The sequence below is a fragment of the Homo sapiens genome, chromosome 4, assembly GCF_000001405.40.
Source record: "Homo sapiens chromosome 4, GRCh38.p14 Primary Assembly".
Taxonomy (NCBI): Eukaryota; Metazoa; Chordata; class Mammalia; order Primates; family Hominidae; genus Homo; species Homo sapiens.
This window is the reverse complement of record NC_000004.12, coordinates 94,225,555-94,248,970: the sequence shown is the minus strand read 5'-3', so window position 1 is coordinate 94,248,970 and position 23,416 is coordinate 94,225,555. Positions and strand designations below refer to the sequence as shown.

The window sequence follows — 23,416 nt, the reverse complement described above, 5'->3', positions numbered from 1 at the left end:
TAGTCAATCAAAAAGCATTTTTCTACTCTGCTTAGAACTGCACCACATGCTATACACACAAGATGGAGAAAAATACAATCTTCTTCTTCAACCTCCTTTATTATCCAACAACTGAATTGCTATTTTTCTCTTTCAGTACCTTAGATAGAAATAACTAAATTCTGATACCTCCTCTGCACAATGGAGTAAAATAAAATTTCATAAAACAGAGACCAATAAAATGCTATGGATATCTGGACTAAAGAAGAAAATTGCATGTGTTTCATAATACTAAGTGGTCTACTTGGGCTCAAATGCAGAGAATGTTAATAGGTTACAAGGATGAAGAATTAAACCAGAGCTAACATGGAATAAAGCCTAAGGTTAGTCTTTTTTAAGAAGCAACAGGATTTTGAGCAGGGGAATAATAAGACATACTGGTGAAACCCATCTGGAGAAACCATTTCAAAATCTTCAAAATTCATACTGCCACCTTTACAGCCCAGGCACACTGAAATTCCAAGAACAGTATTTTAAAGCTCACAGATGGACAACAACCAGCTGAGGAGGGAACAGATCCAAGTATCTAACTCTAGACCACTGCTTTTTCACTACATAAGTGAAAACTAAACTTCAGTTGTTCATTTGTTAATATATCAAATGTGCGTCATGGACAAATTGTGGTAAACACATAAAATGGAATATCACTAAGTCATAAAAAAGAATGAAGTACTGATACACACCACAACATGAATGAACATTGTAGTATATCTGAAAGCATTATGCTATGTAAGAGGCTAATAAAAAAGAACAAAATCATGTTCTTCGCAGCAACACAGATGTAGCTGGAAACCATTTCCTAAGCAAGCTAATGTGGAATCAGAAAAATCAAATACCACATTTCCCACTTATAAATGGGAGCTAAACATTGGGTACACGTGTTCATAAAAATGAGAACAACAGACACTGGGGAACACAAGAAGGCGGAGGGAGGATGTGGGGGAAGAGTTAAGGAAAACTACCTATGGAGTACTATCCTTACTATCTGGGTGACAGATTCATTCATACTTCAAACTTCAGCATCACGCAATATACGTTTGTAACAAACTTGCACATGTACCCCAATTCTAACATAAAGTTGAAAAAAGAAAAAACAAATAAAACACATTTTTCTGAAATTAAAAAATAAGAGGCTAGACATAAAAGGTTACATATTATATAATTCCACCTAAATGAAATGTTCAGAATAGGTAAATCCAGAGACTGAAGGCAGATTGGCGGTTGCCAGGGGTTAGGGGGAGGAGGGAATGGGGAGAAACTGCTTAATGGGTATAGCATGCTATTACGAGGTGATGACAGCGTTTGGAACTAGACAGGAATGATGGTATACAACACTGTGAATGTACTAAATAGCATTAAATAGTTCACTCTAAAATGGTTAATTTTATGCTATGTGAATTTCACCTCAATAAAAAAATACATAAAATATCTGGAAAACAGTAAACAGCTCTTCGGAATCAAATATTTAGTAGATGGTGTGCCTATCATGTGTTGTTTGCTCTTGGGTCCCACACTTATGCCAGCTCTGCTTATCCCTGGTGACTGAATATACTCATGTGGTCCAGGAGGTTACACAGACACTTTACAAAAGCTAGCTGATAAAATTTGGGACTGTATCTGTCTCAGCGGGCCCAAGGGATATGATTCGACCCAGTGCTTATTTTTCCATCTCCAGAATCATAGTTGGAACAGACATATTTGGCACTGGCAGAAATCCCATACTATATCAGTTCCCTGACCCATGATGTATGGGCTACTATTATAGGAAACACCAAATCCAAGTCCCTAGAATTGTCCCTCTCAATCAAAACAATAAGCAATTACTACAGTCCTAAAGGAACTGCAGATATTGACACCACCATCCCATCCCAATGTAAGATGCCTCCTTGACCTATACAAAAAGTAGATGAGTCTTGCAAGTATTTAAGAGTATCATAAACAATCAAACTCCAGCTGCAGCTGCTTTACAGGATGTGGTATTTTTGCTGGAGCAAATCAATATGGCTATGCAGTTATCAATCAAGTACTTGCTTTTTCCCCTTTCCCAATTAGATCAAACAGAAACAATCCGTTTTTATCTTGGCAGGTTTAATGATATACCTTCAGTCTTCAGAGTTAGAGTAACTTTCCTGGCTCTCTCAAATAATACAGTACTCATGGACTTAGATGGTTTTGCACAGTCTAGAGAGTATCACTTGATCCACTATACTGACATCATGTTGACTGGACTTGATACAGGTAGTGGGTATTTTCAATGGTACTGGTCAGATACGTACATGCCACATATCAGGGTGAAGGAATAACCATCCTCACTCTGAGGCCCACCACTTTCGTGGGAGTGTAGTCTGGAGCATGTTGCAAACTCCACTCTTAAGAAAAAAGAAAGGCCGCACCTATCTGCCTCTTTAGACTGGACATTGGGAGCTCACTGCACACTGGAGGCAAGATATACTTCATTAGGGTGTGTACTGCTTGATTCATTTTATAAAATACCTCTTAAGATTGTCAGTTATGGCTGGGCACGCTGGCTCACGCTTGTAATCCCAGCACTCTGGGAGGCTGAGGCGGGTGGATCACGAGGTCAGGAGTTTGAGACCAGCCTGGCCAACACAGTGAAACACCGTTTCTACTAAAAATACAAAAAATTAGCCAGGCGTGGTGGCAGGCACCTGTAATCCCAGCTACTCGGGAGGCTGAGGTGGGAGAATTGCTTGAACCCGGGAGGCGGAGGTTGCGGTGAGCCAGGATCATGCCATTGCACTCCAGCCCAGACAACAGTGCGAGACTCCATCTCAAAAGAAAAAAAAAAAAAAAAGAATGTCAGTTATGAATGGGGCCCAGGTTAAGAGACGGCTCTGTACCAGGTCCAGAGTGCAATACAAGGTACTCCGCCACTTGGGTTTCGTGACCAGCAGATGCAATGATTCTCCAAGAATCTGTTGCAGGTAAGGATGTTGTATGAAGTCTTTGGCAAGCCCCAGTGGGAAAATCGTTTTAGAGAGTTTTAAAGAAAGGTCATCATGTCCTCTTCTACTGACCACAGTCAGTTTTGCTGTGACACATATATTTCCAAAAATTACTGCATTATGCAAAATTGTTAAAAATTGCAGCCTTTAGGAGAAAAACTGTTAGAGATACAATGTCAAAAACTTCATCAGTGACATATAAAAAGAGAAGGCAATCTAATAAAAATGATACAATTTTACACACATTAAATAGTTAATACCTAAATACTACAATAAATATGAGCTGAAGTTTGCTTGTGGACATTGGAAGAGTTACAGCTTACGAGTTATTGTAAAGTGGCAAAAAACAGGTTATCTGAAAATGAATGGAAATTTTTAACACCAGATACAGAAGGTTGTAGCTCACTGTCCTTGTGTTATGTCTGCTGTACTAACTTAAAATATAAAGAATAAATAAAATTTCTGTGGTGTTGCCAGCCTCCTCCTTTTACACTAAAGCTGCCTGTACGGTTCCAAATTCATCCGGATGCCACACAAGACTATCCTAATATCTTCAGCAGTAAAGCCATTATCTTCAAGGCAGTCCAATTATTTTCACAGCATTTAAAACATCTGATCATTTGTATTACACTGTCATGGCATACACAGACTTCTGACTTTCATTATCACTGTCATCGACATCTTCTGCATCCATACAGCCATAAGCAGCAAGTTGCTGAATGTTTTCTGTGGTTAGATCATCAGGACAGGACCCTAGAAACTTCTCAATATCCTCATTTTTGACTGCTCCGAGTCCAAACTGTTTTTCTTAGATCAATATAGCTTGTTTTAAACTTTTAAAATTTCTCTGAAGTATCAAATTCTTCAAAATAAAGAATCAAGTCAAAGGCAATTTTCTGCCACACATAACACAAACACTCTCGGTATATTACTCCAGGCTTCAACAATGACATTGCAATGTTAAACCTCTTCCAACATTCTGTAACCACTTCTGCAACCCTGCCTTAGATAACAGCAATTAATATCTAAAATGTTCACTTTAAATAGTAAGCTATAAACACTGCTGTCACACACTTAAAAAGGGGCTGTTATCAGAGAGGTGGTTTTTGGAGGCAAAAGGAAGAATGTGACATAGGTTGAATTCTGCTTTTGTAGAGAGAGAGCTTGATACACTGTAAGAATTTTTAAAGTTAAGTTTTTTTTTTTTTTTAATGTTTTGGGGCATTCATCCTCTTTAACAGAGAAGAACTAAGTAAAAATATAAATGCAAATGTGGGCAGCCATCCATACATTTTTGCTATACCTGACATGAACCTCAAAGGCTGACGTTAACAATATCTTTTAAAAGGCTCAAAGTTTGGTGAGTGACATTATTGGCTTCAGCTTCAAATCTCCATTTGGCACTGGTGCCAAATATCACAGTTATGTTACCTTTAGGAGCCTTAAATCCTAGAACATGTTTTCTGTCTTTCATATTTGGGTTATTCGAGGCATGCGTTCATAACAGATATTTGTTTAATCAAAACCAAGAATTTAACACCATGCACAGCTGCCTTCAATTTACTTCCCTATCACTGCTGAAAAATTCTTTTGCAGCTTTCATATCTACACTAATAGTTATGTCTGACAGCCAAAGGCTTAGGAAACTGTAGCATTGTTTGTAGGAAACTGTAGCACTGTTTGAAATCATTAAAGCAACCACTACTAGCACTAAAAGGAGCCACTTATGCAGGGTACAGTGACTTCTATTTTAGGTCTGTGTATATAATTACAAAGATCTGTATGAGAAAGGTTGTTCCTTAAGTTTTTCACCCTTTGGTCTTGAATCCAAATATTTGACAATCTTTCTTTTTCTTCTGTTTCTTTATGCCTTGTTCTTATGGACTTTCCAGCACTCGAACCTGGTCCAGCCATACATACACTTTTATTTTTGTGGCATTATCTTTGATGGTCCATAATGTGGATTCCTTTATATCTGTTGCTTGGGATGTATCGTTATGTTTTTATCTTTCCAAATGTTTTCTTGTTTCAAGCTTCTCCTTAATACTCAAAACATTCCCTCTGCATGTACTGTGTGGCATTTTTGAACCAGAATGCTTAGGTAGGTTTGAGATGTTGAATGAGTGCTTTTTTCAAATAGAAAAGATCACAAATGTCAAAGAATAGCATATCACCACCTAACAGGATAATATACATGGTAAAAAGAGGCAGCCAGTGGATACTGGAAACGTGTGTGTTTTATGTGGCTTGGTTCAGCTGGAAGCAATTTTCTATGATCACCTACTATTTCTCATGGACAAAACTGCACATAAGCACATGCAAATTTTGGATTATGCTCAAATCGTTCTCTAATGTATTAACACTGGAATAAATTCACATTTTAAAAACAGAACTGACTGATGTATTTTTGTGAAACAGCTATTGACTTGACAATAAATCCTGATAAAAGCAGAATGGTTGACCACAGAACATCAAATGACCATGAGACTTGAGCCGTTATGTGATCTGGGTATCTGATTTACCTAGCCTAAAACGGAGCATTGGCAGCAGCAACCCATCATCAAGTAGAAATGGTATACTTGAGAATGGACTTGAGTAGGTTCAAGAGACACAAATAAATTGCATGTGCAGATGTCTCAGACTCTCATGGTACCTGCTTCTGCATCACTGCTGCCCCTTCTTCAACTATTACCTGAGGCATTATAAAAAATTCTTTATGACCTGATAGGTTGGGCACAGTGGCTGCCGCCTGTAATCCCAGCACTTGGAGAGGCCAAAGCAGGCGGATCACCTGAGGTCAGGAGTTTGAGATCAGCCCGGCTAATATGGTGAAACACAAAAATTAACTGAGCATGGTGGCACACGCCTGTAATCCCAGCTACGTGGGAGGCTGACAGGAGAATCACTTGAACCCGGGAGGCAGAGGTTTCAGTGAGCCGAGATCATGCCTGGGCGACAGGATGAGACTCTGTCTCGAAAAGAAAGAAAAGAGAAAATTCTTTATGACCTGATAAAGAGGGAAGAAATCCTTAAACTTCATTTGTATGTTGTGAGACAGGTCTCACTGTGTCACCCAGGCTGGAGTGCAGTGGCATAATTATGGCTCACTGAAGCCTCAACCTTCTGGGCTCAAGTAATCCTCCCTCCTTAGCCTCCGGGTAGCTGAGATTACAGCTGCATGTAAGCATGCCCAGCTAATTAAAAAAATTTTTTTTTTTTTTTTTGCAGAGACAGGAGTCCCACTATATTGCTCAGGCTGGTCTTGAACTCCTGGGCTCAAGCAATCCTCCTGCCTCAGCCTCCCAAGATGCTGGGATTATAGGCATAAGCTAATGCACCCAGCCTGAACCAGCTTGACTTTACAAAGGATTTGCATAATTTTAGAACCAGCCAAGTGAACAACTGCTATAATATAAACCCAACTCAGAGAGTAGCCCTGTGTACAACTTTGGGCAGTACATCTTGTTGCCCATTTTGTGTACCAAGAGATGGCCAGAGGTAGAGATCAGCAATGTATCAGGAACAGAGGCTAAAAAGAAGACTTAAAAAACTGGTGACCAGGAAGTCTGGGGAAGAGGTACATTGCTGAACATCTCAGAATATAAGTTATTCTGAAAATACAGCCGGGCGTGGTGGCTCACGCCTGTAATCTCAGCACTTTGGGAAGCCGAGGTGGGTGGATCACTTGAGGTCAGGAGTTCGAGACCAGCCTGGCCAACATGGTGTAACTCCATCTCTACAAAAAATTAAAAAAAAAACAAAAAAACAGCTGGGCGTGGTGCTGCACTCCCGTAATCCCAGATACTCCGGAGGCTGAGGTGCGAGAATTGCTTGAACCAGGGAAGTGGAGGTTGCAGTGAGCCAAGATCACACCACTGTACTCCAGCCTGGGACAGAGTAAGACTCTGTCTCAAAAAGCAAAACAAAACAAAAAAAAAGAAGTTATCCTGAGAATAGAATAGAAGGATAACGGTGTTTGTGTGAATGTTCAGCCAAGGGTGCACACGTGGCAGAGAAAATTTTTAAAGATCAGGTATACAAGATCATCCATTTTGTGAACACCAGTTAAGTCCACAGCCACTTGAATGCCTGCTCAATAGGCCCATTTACAAATGGCCATGGCAACTGGGCTTGAGTCTGTGCATGCAAGTCAACAAGGTAAGACTTTCTACACCAAGATTAATCTGGCTATTGTTACGGTCAGTGCTCAACCTGCAAGGAACAGAGGCCAACGAGTTCCCATTATAGCACCATTCCTTGGGAGATTCAGTCAACTGTCTGGTGGCAGGATGATTACACCTTCACGATTCATCATGAAAGATATAGTAACAGATAACCTGCTCTAAGTATGAATTTGCCTTCCCTATCCACCTGCTTCTGGAAACACCACTATTATGGGTTGTGTCCCCTCCAAATTCAAATGTTGAAGTCCTAATGCCCAGTACCTCAGAATGTGACCTTATTGGAGACAGGGTCATCAGTGAGACACTCAAGTTAAAATGAGGTCATTAGAGTGGGACCTAATCTGACTGTTGTCCTTATAAAAAGGGGAAATTTGGAGATGAACACGCACACAGTTCAGAGAACCCAATGTAATGAAGAGGGCAGAGATAAGCAATTAATACTGGATAAATTTAAAAGAAAGCAAAAACAGTCACAAATTATATGCAAGCACAAATTATCTGGCTTAGCTGTGAAAGAAAAGAAAGAATGATTCATTTAGACAAATTTTCAGGTCTGATATCCACAGACACAAAATAGTCTGTGCTTAAGCAGGCTTCATACTGGATAAATTAAAAAGCAAAAACAGTCACAAATTAAATGTAGACGTAAATTCCCTTAGTTGTGATAGAAAGGAATTCATTTAGGTGGATTTTCAGGTCTAATAATATCCACAAACTCCACATATCCTAACCTTAAGCAGCCAATTTTGATACTGTAATTCAAATGTAAACTTACATGATCCAGTCTTGTCTTTTTTATAGATTGATCATCATTAAATTCATCTTCCTCATATGGCTCTGAAGAAGAAGATAATTTTCTTTTCCTGGGCCCACCACCTTTTAAAGCAGAGCAGCACACTCAAACTTTGCACAGAAATAGCAAAAAATCAATTTAATGTAAAACAAAGGCAAAAATGTATTATAATGAATACTAGACAGTTCTCTTGATATCAGGCCCAGTGTTTGTTGTTCTACATATGACTGAATTGAAAAAAAAAGTAAACATTCTTTGCAGTCTTTCAGAAGTAGAAATCACTGTAATACTATATTCATAAACCATCACATTATTTAATCTAAAAATATACATCTCTAAATTGATGAGTAATTCTACAGAGCAACATTAGGAGGGAGGGATTCTTCCAAGTGGCTGAGTGTTGAGCAGTGAAATAAAGCTGACCCCCACCAAGTGTAAGTTATCTGAATACCATCACAGAAACCAGCAATTTCTGAGTCTACTATGTACCAGGCCTTGCACAAGGTCTTTTATAAACTATTGTTTCATTTACTTTTCACACACAAACCTACAAAGTAGGTAACATTTTTATTTCACAAATGAGGAGGATAGAGATACAGAGAGCTTAAGCAACAAATGCTTTTAATGTAAAAACAAGAGAATATAACATAGAGTACAGCAGTAACAGGAAATCTGCATATTGTCGTGACTGGAAGAAAACAAACTAGAGCTACATATGCTACTTATGTATGCTTGTATACATTATGTATATATTTACCTACTTCTTAAATACTTTTGCTTTCAGAGAACAAGTTTGTCAGACATATTGCTGTGCTACTATGAAAGCACCTGCTAAAGACTACAAAGGTTTAAGATTTCAGCATTAATTATATCAGAGCCCTAACTATGCAGCTCAAATACATACATACATGTCAGCTTAAAAATTTCATTAACATGGCTATTACAAAATAAAAATGGAATGTTATTAACATTTTAAAGCAGAGTATTTGTGTCACTACAAACACTAACCACAATATTCTAAATGTAATATTTTAAGTCTGAAAAAAACCTTCAAACCAGATAATCTTGCCACATCACCTAGACATGCTGAATTCTTTCCTAAAAAGAACAGAACAGAAGCCAGGTGCACAGCTCATGCCTGTAATCCCAGCACTTTGGGAGGCTGAGGTGGGCAGATCTCTGGGGCTCAGGAGTTCGAGATCAGCCTTGGCAATATGGTGAAACCCCATCTCTACTCAAACTACAAAAATTAGCTAGGCGTGGTGGTGCATGCCTGTAGTCCCAGCTACTTGGAAGGCTGAGGCGTGAGGATCACTTGAGCCTGGGAGGCAGAGGTCGTAGTGAGCTGAGACCGCACCACTGCACTCCAGCCTAGGTGACAGAGTGAGGCCCTGTCTCAAAATAAAAAATTAAAAAAAAAAAAAAACACAACAGGGCAGCTAGAGAGACTCCGGACAACATCAATAAATTCGTACTCTTATCTTCTGAAGTAGAGTAAAAACTTTGGATATACATTTTTTTGTTTCTGTAATTTCATATTCAAAAACAAACTTTCAAAACAAACAGCATAAAAACATCCCTAGTGTTTAATACGCAGGATGATACTGTCTGTTAAGACTGCAATTTGTGGTTAAAAGAAACAATGGGAACTGTCACAATTTCTGGATCTGTTAAAGATCACTTACAGGTATTTAAAAAGGTCTTTTGTTGAAAACTGTCCTAAAATGGCAAGTATAGTTTCCTGTCTCAATAACATAGTATACTGAAGATTAACCTTATCTTCAAGGTTAGACAAACCTGTCATTCTATATACTACCTCAAAGTGCACTACACTAAAAATGAAGATGTCTGATAAGACTGTTCTGTCCGTTCCATGATGCAGCATGGAAGTTTAATTAAAAAACCAGAAAATCCTAATTTTTTATTTCCTTGTAATTTGCCATTTAACATTTTTTTAATTGAAATAATCTGAAGTACAATGGAATAAGAAAAAGCTCAGCTGAAGTTAAATAAATTTAATGATTGTAAACTCTTATGACGGCAGAGGTTGTATCCACTGTTTCCTCATGTAACCTCAGTACCTAAGCCACAGCCTGTGCTACCTAGTAAAAGCAGCATAATAAATATTTGTGAAATTAATGAATAAGTTGAATAAGATGAATTGCTCAAGAGAAAAAAGATTAGATACCACCGTGGAATAAAGTAATTCCACAACCTGTTTTTAATGAAATGTTTATGGACTAATGAGATAATGTGAGAGCAAGAATGTATTGGGAAGCTACAAAACTTCCCAAGCTATTTTGCAGCTCAACAAATGTTCACTGAGCGTATCATTTTTCAGGAGGTTTTTTCTTTCTTTCTTTCTTTCTTTCTTTTGAGACAGGGTCTTGCTCTGTCACTCAGGCTGCAGTGCAGTGGCACAATCCTAGCTCAGAAGCTTTTAAAGTAAGTGCTAGGGACGAAATAATGAGGAAGACACAGCTAACATTCACCTCTAACTTTTTTTTTAAATCATCAGATGACCCTTAAACAAATAGTTGCTAACATTTGGTATGCACTCACTATGTACCAGGCACCATAAGAAGTAGTATACATTATTAGTTCTTCACAACGACCTTTGAGTTTGGCACTATTATACTACTTTACTGCTAAGGAAACAAAGACAGAAGAGTCAAGCAACACTGCTCAAGGTCACACAGCTATTAATAAATAGAAGACAAAAAAGAATCTTGATACACTGTAGGTAGCACCCACAAAATACTGTCTCCTTGCTCAAACTGGAGGAAATTAAAGGTTTAAAATATTTCATATGGATAAAATAAAAATCTTATGTAGAATCTACTTGAATACAGGCCACTTAGTGGAAGAAAAATGAGGTGGATAATTATTGGAGAATGATGGGTCCATGGGAACACATCGTTTTGTATTTTTGTACATATTTTAAACCTCGAAAAAATTAATAGTAGTAAGAATCCACTTAGAAAAATGAGCATTCAGAAACATACTGTTGATAAAAGCATAAACTGGCATAACCTTTAACAAAAGGACATGGAAATACATATTAAAATTTAAAATGTGCATACACTTTGCTTGAACATCCTAGTTTGAAATTTAGCCTATATAAATAACAGAAATTTTTGTTCTATTTATGTATAAGGACATTTACTTTAGTGCTATAATAATGAAATAATGAAAACGTAAGTGCTAATAGGGAAACAGTTAAACTAATCCTGTGGGTAGTCACAGAGGAATGTGAAGCTATCCATGACAAATTATTATATGATTTTTTAAAAGATGTAAACCAATATATTTACATTTTGTAACCTAATGTATGTGTGTTGTATGCCAGTGTATATAAGCAGGAAAAAAGTTGAGAATGACATAAAAGGTGGTTATAATTTAAGGGTGGTTAATGAAGTGTGGGTTTGCTTTCACTATTTAAATACTTTTTTAGTAGTAGGGTCAGGTGATTTTTACTTTTTTTTTTTTTAGTATGTGTAAGTTAAAAAAAATCGAGTCAGCATTTATTTAAAAACTGGACACGCTTCTATATTGCAAGCTCATTCAAATGCATTTATTTTTGTATCCCAAGCCCCTGAAACATGAAAAAATATTTACTAAAGGAATGTTGATTACCAGCTACGCCTTTCCCTAAGACATTATGTTCCTACTAAGATTCGTAAACCTATAATAAAACCACAATGCAACTAGAAATTATACTTTAAAAAGAGAGAAAATATATCCTACAAAACTTCACTGTTACAAGATTTGATTGGTAGAAAAGCAGTAAAATTATCAGTGAGAAACTTCTTCCCTTTTTAGGGAAAAACAGTGAAACTATTAATACCTCACAAATTCCTGTAAGAATTCATAAAGGTGTTTGATAAACTGTGGAGCAATATTAATGAGAAGGTACTATTATTATGACGTAACAATAAATCGACATGGCTTAAAATTAAGTCAAGCATACCTGCATCACCAAACATCAGCAAGGCAGCAGCAATTGCTCCATCCATAGTGCTTGTTGATTCAATCAACTAACAGAACGAGAAAAGATTAATGTTTTAAATCAGCACTTTAAGAATTATTTCAGTTACTGAAATATTTAAGAACAAACATATTAAATATAAACATGACAGGAAAGTATGTGTGTCATAGTTTAAGTTCATTAAGTCCTATGATAAATTTTCAGAAAATCTGTTTTATGTAAAAGGTCTGAATTTTAAGCATATTTTAAAATGTATCAGGTTGACTCATTCTTACTATAAAGGAAAAATTAAAACACAATCACATATATACAGTATTTTCTAGGTTTTTGCTATTTTAATTACAAAGTTTTACACAAAACTTCCTACTTAACATGTCCAGGCCACTCCGTGCCTGTGTGTGCATGCTCACGTTTGTGTATGTGTGTGTGTCAGATGGAGAGAGAAAGGGGAAAGAGGAGACTGACAGACATCTATTTACTTTTTTTTTAATTTCTAGGGGAAAAAGGACAATTCTGCTCTTTTAAAAAAATCTAATACTGCTCGAGATAAATGGGATAGGGGCTCTTAATTTTTACTCTATTTCTGAATTGTCTGAATCTTTTCAAGAACATATGCATATATTGCTTGCATGACATCATTCTAATATACTGTTTTTATACTGCTCAGTAATTTTAGATTTCAGAAGAAACTAAAATCCCCTATTTTTCTCCTATTATAGCTTCCCATATTTCAAATGAGTTACTTGTTTTAAAAAGATCTTACTTTTAAATAAGCTACTTTTTGTATTAAATCAAGTAGCCTCAAATCAAAGTGCTCTCTTCCACACTAATTTTTCCTAATCTTGGATGCTAAGATATATCCTATTGGCCTTCTTCATTTTCAAAATAGCCAAAGCATATTCTTAGCAAGCTTAGAACTATTTCACAACCTCTTGAATTCTTTTACATGGATTTAAAACCTTTTGTTGAGTAATTTATAAACATTACCTTTAAATTTCTAGAACTGAAGGGGATCACTTGAAATAGAGATTACTTCAAGAGAGTGCTCTGGAGTGTGTGATATACTAAATTACACAATTTCAGATACTGATTTATGAAACATTCAGGGAAATTATGCATATCAATCTTATTTTTCCAATAAAATTACAAAATTAGAAAGATTTTTACAAGAAAAAAACTCTGAACTACATTAAAAATTGGCAATCAAGTGAAAGTATTTTTAAACTGAGATTTGGCCCTTTATGTTGAATATTTTAATACTCCATGTTTATTCTATTAGAAGCTCTTTCCTTATTACTGCTTTAAAATACTTTAGCCCTCATGTCTACATTTGTTTCCACAAAAAAAAAAAAAAAAAAAATTCACATTAGCAGACAAGTAACACTGCTGTCAGAGAAAATGTAGACTCAAGATATCACTAAAGTTTCATTTAGCTAATAGTAAGATGGTATCAAAATGATCTGGGTGGAAAAAAATCCAGTGGATTCATGTCAAAAATAACATAGATTAAAAATAATGTAATCTACACTTAAACTGGCAGGCACAGGACCACCTATGGTTCACAGACATGTGTTGTTTGGCTTGAATAGCATGTTTATTTTTATCTTTCTTTAAATTAGTTAGCATTAAAAGGAACAAAGTACATCCTGCAACAGCGACGAATCTTTTCCACTAGGTGAAAGCAGCCAGTCACAAAATATCACATATCTGAATCCATTTATATGAAATATCCACAATAAGCTAAAAAAAAAAAAAAAAAAAAAAAAAAAAAGGATTGGTGGTTGCCTGGGACTGGGAGAGGGACAAAACTGGAGAGTGACTGCTAATGGATATAAGGTTTCTTTTGGGAGTCAGTTGCATTATTTCATAAATATAGTAAAAACCACAAAATTGTATATTTTAAATGGGTGATTTTAGGCATAGGAATATAGCTGTTAAAGTGGTGACCAACCCTCAATAAAAATCCAGCCTTATGGCTTTATTTGAAAAATCTGAGTATCCAGTAAAAATGGGCTATCACTGACAGCTCACATGGCCATGTCCTGCTGAAGCTAGACAGCAGCTACCCCTTTAAAAAAGAATATGTACTCTATAGTATACTAGTCTCTACCACTTCAAAGTTACCTGCCTAGTCCATACAGATATGGTAACTCCTAAGCCTCATATGGTGAGGAGGAGAACTGGTAGTGGTAGCAGCGAAGACAGATACAAAGGTGAAAATACAAAGGACCTGCAATTAAATGATTCCCCTAAGATAATTCAACTAATAAGTGGCAGAGCTAGGAACAGACTGTTTATTAATCTTCAGAAATTTATTCTCTACCTAAAACTAAATTGGTCAATTTTTATTTACTCTTATAATTAGAGATACCTAAACATCACTTTACATTTCAACTATACTCCTTTGTTTCTGTAGTTAAATCAATATTTCTCAGCAAGAGTGCTACTGGCAGGACTATCCTTAGTTATGGACTGTCCTTAGTACTGCAGGGTGTTTAGCATCGCTGGCTTCAGGGCACTAAATGCCACTAAAAACCCTTGTCACAGTTGTGTGAGGTGGTTCCTGACATTTCTGAGTATTTCTAATGGAAATGGGGAGGTTATGCATTTTAGAAACATTCAAACACAAAAAAACTCACAACCTATGTTCGCTATTAAGGCTTTAATTACTGCACTATTTACAAATAAATAACCTCATCTATTAAAAAGTTAAGACTTTCAATAAATAAATGTCTGGCATTTACTTCCTTTAGATTTAATAGTTAATATCTTCAAACGTAAGATATCTTTAGAAAAATGACTATCCACTACTAACTATAGCACTGAATGCAGGAGAGATTTTATCATCATTACAGCTACAATAACCAATGAATATAACCTTAAGTAAATCATTGTCACTTCTTTGTGGAAAAAGTTCCTTCAAAGTCTGAAGTTTAGCATCTTTAAGGTCTTCCAATTCCGAAAGGTCTTCCAGTTCTGAAATATCATCATTTCTACGTGCCATGGTAGGAAGGCCTTGGGACTCTTCATCTTCAGATGGCTCAGAACTAAAAATATTTTTAGAGGAGCAAAAAACATTTTTAATGTATTACTAATGTTATTTCATTATAGTGTCTATGTGTATACATAGTACAACACATCTGCAGTTCTTTTCAATAGTAAATGCAATCTATACTTGTCAGAAAGAGACCTTTTTTTTCCATTTCAGTGTAGTTATGTGAAAAATCTGCATTACCAACATCAGTATACACTGAAAAAATCTCAACCCTGAGCTGGGATGGAAACGAACAAAAGGAACTTCCTAGCATTTATTTTGTTAGGACTCACACGCATTTATTGCATGCCCACTTCCTCTTTACTCATCTTCTTTCACCAATACTCTCTATGTCAGACGAAGTTATGCTACTCCTAAGAAATTATGAAGATTAAATGGATACAAAGATAAAGTAATTTTCAGGCCTACCTAGGTGTGATCAGGATCTAACTGCTAAAATCAGAATGGTCCCATTGAATATAGGAATCTCTGCCAGAAACAAAACATTTCCTCAGCAAACAGGGAATATTTATTTCATATGAGGGTTTATTCTCCAACAACTAACTTTATTCCTGTTCTATTTAACTTCATATGTTTATCCTTTATAAAAGACATTTTGAGTCAAATTTTACTCATTTATTCCCTAAACAAAAAAATCTCATTTTGAAATTTTGGTTTTCAAACATGGTAGGCACTCTAGAGATCAGAACTAGAACAGTAACAAATGAATGTAAGTTATAGAGATCAGAGAATGAAAGCAAGATGGGACTATACTTAGGTATAATCTTAACATTAGTGAACTCAGACTTTGCTATGCTGCTAATTCTATTTCTGAATAGCTCTCTTAGACACATATCTAGAATATGCAATTTCTCTATATGTACTCATGTTATTTCTGTTGTGTCCTTTATGGCACAACATGTGATGCCTAAGAACATCTAAAAGCAAATTTCCAAAGAACAGAATATGTGTGTTTTTTCTTTTTTTGAGACGGGGTTCCACTCTGTCACCCAGACTGGTGTGCAGTGGTGCCATCTTGGCTCACGGCAACCTTTGTCTTACAGGCTCTAGCAATCCTCCCACCTCAGCCTCCTGAGTAGCTGAGACCACAGGTGCTTGCCACCACACCTATTTTTGTGTTTTTTGTACAGACAGGGTTTTGCCATGTTTCCCAGGAGATTTTATCTACTGCCAGAGTTTCTGCCAGGCTTGTCTTGAACTCCTAGGCTCAAGCGATCCGCCCGCCTTGGCCTTCCAAAGTGCTGGGATAACAGGTGTGAGCCACCATGCCTAGCCAGTGTACGTATTTCAAAAGCTTCTAGGTTGACTTCCTGAGATCAGCTCTGAGAAACCGCTCTAAAGTAACGAGGCAAATACACCTCTTCCTTTATCACTATGCCTGTCCTTCAAATATTTGAGGACAATCACATGCATTTCCTTTGCATTATTATACCTAGACTTCTCATTCCTGATGTACTCAACTTTGAATTTTCATTATGCCTCTCTATATTCCCTGCTCCCTACTTGACCTTGCCTCTTAGGTGACTGAGAAAATGAAAGCATTCAGGTTAAAATCCTTTTATAATTCCTGCCCTGGATAACCACTTTCAAAGATATTTACTCTTCTGGTGGTCACAACCTTTATCCAGTGATCAGACTCAATGATCTAACAAATTCATGTGCCTCATGATGTAATAAATATTGATGCTGACAATGAATATCACTATGGCTTGGATTTATCTTCCAGACTACAGGAAATACAAGTGATAGAAAATAAATAATGTCATGAAGAAAAAGAAAAACCAGCCGGGTGCAGTGGCTCACACCTGTAATCCCAGCACTCTGGGAGGCCGACGTGGGTGGATTACCTGAAGTCAGGAGTTCAAGACCAGCCTGGCTAACATGGTGAAACCCCATCTCCACTAAAAATTAAAACAATTAGCTTGGCATGGTGGCGGGTGCCTGTAATCCCACCTACTAGGGAGGCTGAGACATGAGAATCATCTGACCCCAGGAAGCAGAGGTTGCAGTGAGCTGAGATCACACCACTGCACTCCAGCCTGGGTAACAGAGCAAGACTCTGTCTAAAAAGAAAAAGGAAAGAAAAAGAAAAATCTGTTTTTTCTGAGAAAAGACTTGATCTCTTTAGAGAAGCAGAAAAGGGGAGTGGCCCATTCTAGATTAACACAGTTGAAGCCTAATAGCCAAATGTAATTTAGATCTTGGTTTTGAAAAAAATCAGCTATAAAAAACATGAAATCTGAACCTAAGGTACAAGTTAAATGATATTAGAGAATTGTTCATTGATAGATGGCAGATACATAACCAGTATTAAGGGGAGAAATGCTGGGATGTCCGTAATTTAAAATACTTCAGCTAAAAATAATAATAGGTGACACAATAAACAAATAAGGAAAACAACTGTTAAATCTAGGTGGAAGGTATACAGGTGTTCTTTATATACTATTTCATTTTCTTGTGTGCTTGAAACTTTAAAAACAGAAGAAAAAAACCTGTAAGAACAACAGAGTTGACCACTTGCTCTTTTTTCCAGTCTCAGATAAAGAAGTTCCTTCCTGTTAAAGACAAAGTCCCCTCTCACTGCTAAGGCATTCTAGCCCTTTCTACATCTACAAGACTCTGCTCTAACTATCTACTATGTTTCTCCTGAATCTTTTCTCTCTTCATAAGCTCTTCCTCCCCAATCGGCAATGTGCTCAAGACTGCATTAATTCAATTAATTCCATGTGCCAGGGTTTCCGGGCACTGTGGACACAGCAGCAAGAAAAAAAACAAACAAAAAACCCCATTCTCCTCCATTTCACAGATTTTATTAGACTGATTTTCTACATCCTTTCTTATGGAGTTCTCAAACTTATTGTTTTTACATCTTTCGCACAACAACTCAGTGAAACTGTTCTCACTAAGGACAATAATGTCTTTTAAACTGCTGAATGGAATAAAAACTTTTCACTGCTTATCTAAGTTTTCCTGTGTTGTCCTGTACATTGTTGACAAACATATCCTTGAAAATTTGGCCCCACCCTCACCTCAGGGGTTCTGCAACATTACTTCTGATTTTCCTTTTACCTTTCAGCCTGTCCTTCTGAATCTCTGTAACAGGCTCTTCTTCCTTTGTTCACCTTCTTCAACTGCTGAAGCTACCTAGGATTCTGCCTTCAGTTCTTTCTTGTCTATGAATGCTTCCTAGGAGATTTTATCTACTGCCAGAGTTTCTAGCATACACATCAGTGGGTTCTCAAAGTTGGGGTAGGGGGTAGTTTTGCTGCAAGGGGATATTTGGCAATGTCTGGAGATATTTCTGATTGTCTTGACTAGGGAAATGCTACTGGCATCTGCTGGGGTGAGGTCAGAGATACTTAACTAACCATCCTAAATGTACAGGGCAGCACCTCACAACAAAGAATTATCTGGCTCCAAATGTCAATAAATGTCAAGCTTAAGAAACTGTGATAACCAAAATGCCCATACATGGGGAATGAATGAATAAAATAAGGAATGTTCACACAATGTAGTACTATGGAGTTGCAAAAAATAATAAAAATTTCTAGAACTGATATGATTTCCAGGAGATATATACATATATGCTAAGTAAATAAAAGAACAAATGAATATACACACATGTAGTATGCTATCTTTTGTGTAAGAAACAAAAAAAAAAATACACGAAAGTATGACAATGAACTAAACAAACTGGTTAGTTCTAAGGTTTGAATGGAGAAGGGACAGAAAGAGAGTAAGGGATCTGAGTATATCCTTTGTAGAGTTTTGATTTTTGGAATCTTGTTCATATTTTAAATATTTGAAAGTAAAATTTAAAAGAAAAGAACAAGGGAAAAACCCTAAAAGGAATACAAAATAATTAATGGTATTTCAAATGAATAACAAAACATTTAAATTAATTAATTAATAATCCAAGTGCATTGACTGTATACCCTCAATGGTCAAGTAGTATGGGTGTAGCTATTCTAAAACTATTTTATGCATACTTGATGACTGAACAGATTAGTAAAATATACTGATACTGGTAGAAGTCAGGGTTCTCACTGTCAGAAGAAAACAGAATGAGAGGCAAAGAAAAGACCTGTAGTGATAGATTAGAATTATCAGTATCACTGTAAACAAATGATTAAAAAAAAAAAAACACCACACATTTTCACATTTTTCCTTCTCTCTCTCCCTAACTCCAACCCCCTACACCCGAGTATTTCCTAGGTCCTTCTGCTGAAAGGGCAATGACATTAATTCCTACCTCACCAGCAGCAAAGAAAGAACACAGAAGAAGTTTCTATATTTCCAAGTATCATTTCCTACTAAAAAGAACCAGAACTACTTGGAGAAATTGCTAATTTTTATTTCAGGCTTGAGGTAGGAGAAGTAGAAGTCTGGGATACCTTGTTCCAGAAAGGAAAATGATAGGAATCCCTCAAACAAACACAACAGCCTGTTTGAAGAGGCCCTCAGCTGCCAAAACTGAGAAATTTGTGCACCAAAATGAATAATAATAGTACTAAATTATAAACCACTGAATAAGTACACATCTATAATTTCATTTTGATATTTATTGTACCACATAAATAAAAGCACAAATGGGGAGAAAAAGGAACATTACAGACTACCAAATACAAGTGTTAAGTTCTAGAACACTGGTTAGTATACCACATTTTCCCACCATCATTATCATAAATTAATCCGACAAAAATCAATAGATACTACAACTACTGAGTGAAAGCTGGCTAGCGAATAGGACTATTACCCAGTCTCAAAGTATCTCTCCACAGATAACTTATTTATTACAAAGGGAAAAATGGTAACTTGACAGACAAAACCTAGCAGGGGCCACGTTAATTGAGTCATCAAAGTTCAACAATAATGGGACAAATGGATATCATGTGTCTCCTGACACATGCCTCAAGGTGATATGACACACTGAGGACGACACAAGATCATTTAGGTAGTAGTATGTAGTAGTCTTTCCACTTAACCTAAATTTAACCATGAAGAAACATTAGTTAAACCCAAATTTAGAAAAATTCTAAAAAAACCTGGCCTATTATCTTCAAAGGTCAGTATCCTGAGAAACAGAAAAAGACTGAGAAATAGTTTCAGATTAAATGAGTTTAAAGAGATATGACAAACTAAATCCACTGTAAAAAAAAAATTACCATAAAGTACTACTGAAAATATGGTCCAGGGACTGACTGCTAGTTCTCCAACTGTAGTCTGTCCATGACAACATAAGGAACTAGCAACAGAACGTAAACAACTACGTTACTGAGCACATTGCTTAGTTCAGCTGTTTTTTTTTTTTCACTGCAAGATATTCTTGGTGAAGGAATCAGTACCCTGATTTGCATTCTAAGACATATTCCTTATTTATAAATCAGTATTTTGAGTAGCAATGCTCTAAAGGACATTACTGGTATAACTGGCAAAATTGAAATATGAAAAGTATATTAGATAATAGTACTGTACTAGTGTTAATTGGTATTTCTGGGTTTGAAATATTACTGTTAATATGCAAATGAATGAATGACCTTGTTTTTAGGAGATAAATGAGAAAATACTGCAGGCAAAGTGTTCAGTAGTTATTGTAATTGCTGTTTACGAAGAGTGATAATGCAATTGTGGGAAAATGCTAACAAGGGTAATTCTGAAAAGACTGTGAGAGTTGATAATGCATTTTTTTTTGCAACTTTTCTACAATTTTTCCAAAATATGACAATTTTCCTCAGGATTAACCATGCAGGATCTTCACTACATTTTATCTTGGAGTACATTTCAGAATTAGGCATGTTTATCACAGCTTCATGTGAAAAGTTCATTTTAAGATGAAGTCCTCATCTTATCAGAAGTAGACAGTCCGATCTCTTGCTCTTTCTTACAACACTTTATCTTCACTTAACTTCTAGAAGACCATGTAGCCTTTTACCTCAATAGCTGCTCCTCCTCAGAACCTTCTACAGGTTTCTTCTCATCTCCCTGATTCTAAAAATCCAGAGTTCCCCTAGCCTCAGTATTTCAACCAAGAGGACTTCCCTTCTTCAGCTATACTATACTAGTGTCCCTTACACTGATTTCATCTGATCATATGGCTTTAAATAGCAAACCAATACTCTGTCACCTAGTAAATTCAGACATGTAATCTCTCCCCAGAACTCAAATGTCCCAAATCTAATTATACCTACTTGACATCTCCATTTAGACGTCTAGGAGTGTTCTCAATCATAGCATGTTCAAGAATGAATTGCTGACTTTCCTTCAAAAGGTGTTTGCCCACCCACAGCAGAAACAGTCACCTTTATCTCAGTACCTAGTAACTCCATCCTTCCAGTTTGCTCAGGCCAAAAATCTTAGGGTGATCCTTGACTCCTTTATCTCCCAACCCACATGAAATCCAGCAACAAATCCTCTCTTGCTCCATCTTCAAAGTATATTCCAGAATCTAACCACTTATTATCCCTCCCACAGGCACTAGCCTCATCTAAGTCTCCATCATTTTTTGATGGGTTATTACAACAATATTTATGCTTTTACTACTGCTCCCTCACAGTCATTAAGACCTTTTAAACATCTAACTCAGATAATTTTACCTCTCTGTTCAATATTCTCCTAGGAATTCCCATCTCAGTCAGAATAAAAACCAAACAGCCTATGGAACTAATGTGATGAAGCCCCTCCTTCATCTCATCCTTTACACTATGGCTTCAGATCCTTCACTCCGCATCATGTCCCTCCCACTTTCCTCAAAAACACCAGGCATAATATAGTCACTGAACATGATATTCCCAATGCCTGGAATACTCTTTCCCCCACATCTACATGGTTCACTTTCTCACCCCCTTTATGTCTTTGCTCCAGCACTGTCTTCTCAATTAAGCACTGTCTTCTCAATTGAGGCTTTTCTGACCACGCTCTTTAGAAACCATTCCCTGACCCTCGAGCCAGGTGTGGTGTCTAACGCCTGTAATCCCAGCACTTTGGGAGGCTGAGATGGCAGGACTGCTTGAGGCCAGGAGTCTGAGAGCAGCCTGGACAACATAGCAAGACCCCACCTCTAGAAAAAACAAGAAAAAAAAAAAGAAACGATTCCCTGACCCTAACTCCCTATTCCTCTTCCCTTTGCCCATAACACTTATCTTTTGACACACTACATCTTTTATTACTTTTCTACCTGACTAGAATATAAGCTGTGTGAGGGCAGAAAGAAAGCTGGGGATGGTTTGTTCACTGTTGTATTTCTAATCATAAAACAGTGCCTAGCTCAGACTGTTTCCAATAAACATGTTAAAATGACTTGATTCATGGACTTTAGAATAAATCATAAAGCAGTTATACACGATCAAAGGTACTAAACAATTCTTTTAAACTTCCATAATAAGGAAATTAAGTATCTGCTCTCAAAATCACTGTTATCAAAAAAAAAAAAAAAAAAAAATCACTGTTATCCAGAAAACACACACATTGTACCTCTCCATGACTATAAGTTAGAGAAAATAACCAAGATGTGGCCAAGAAAGGCAGGTGGGGCAAAAAAAAAAAAGAAAAAAAAAAAAAGGGAAGTCACCAAAATATCTCAAATTAGGTAGGTTTTTTTCTTGGAAAATCTCACACACATGCAAATACAATATATCTATTAATCAGCTTACACTATAATCACTGTATCTTTGTTGAATGTTTTCTCTTGAACTGTATTGGAGCAATTTGGGGAAACGACATCTTCACTATCAGAAGACAAATCAATATACTGTATTCCTCTTTGATTTTTGAAATATGATATACTTGCTTTTCTTTCATTATCTGGAGTTTCTGGAACACTAGAATCTTCTGCAAGAGAATAAAAAGGAGAAAAATATTTTGAGCAACTGGAAAACGAATCTGTTGTTAGTTATAATCATGTGCTAAAATCTCAAATTTCATTCATTGTTTCCAATCTAAAAATCAAAATTCTCACCACTTTTTAAAGAAAAAAATTAATCATCAACCAGGGCTGGTGTTACATTTTCTGTTTCACAGGTTGTTTACTAACAAGACTTTAGTGGAAACTGCAAAATAACATAGGTTTGTGTTTTATATTCTAATACTTTCCTCTTGTACTTTTACTTTGTAGCACTTAGGTTTTACTTGAGACAGCATGAACACCACAGCCCAAAAGATTCCAATCCCACCTCTTCATCTTATTAATTTCTCTAAGCCTTAATTTCCTCCTCTGTAAATACAGATACTAATAATCACAAAGTTAATATGCATATAAAATCAGATTATATATGTAAAGCATTTAGTTCAGTAATTGGCACATAGCCAGCATCCCATAAATATTAGCTCTTATGAATATGTGGTGTATGGGCTGAACTGTGTACTCCTCCCCATCATTAAGTCCCAATCACCAAT

The 23,416-nt window shown here is 36.5% G+C and overlaps 1 protein-coding gene across 30 annotated transcripts in view; it reads right to left on the bottom strand.

Annotated features, from left to right (window-relative positions):
* SMARCAD1 (SNF2 related chromatin remodeling ATPase with DExD box 1) overlaps positions 1-23,416 on the bottom strand; it is an 83,685-nt gene that overhangs the window by 42,322 nt on the left and 17,947 nt on the right. For 23 of the 30 annotated variants that reach the window (NR_164724.1, NR_164729.1, NR_164722.1 and 20 more), the window contains 4 exons: positions 22,675-22,852; positions 14,849-15,017; positions 11,953-12,019; positions 7,965-8,065 (listed from right to left, as the gene is read on the bottom strand). Coding sequence is in view for 8 of the 30 variants with exons in the window: in NM_001128430.2 (NP_001121902.1) it covers positions 7,965-8,065; positions 11,953-12,019; positions 14,849-15,017; positions 22,675-22,852 (515 nt within the window). In the remaining 22 variants the exon portion in view is untranslated. Of the gene's footprint in view, positions 1-417; positions 7,927-7,964; positions 8,093-11,952; positions 12,020-14,848; positions 15,018-22,674; positions 22,853-23,416 lie in introns of those variants that run through there. The other 7 variants (NR_164727.1, NR_164731.1, NM_001375857.1 and 4 more) reach the window with 4 other exon arrangements.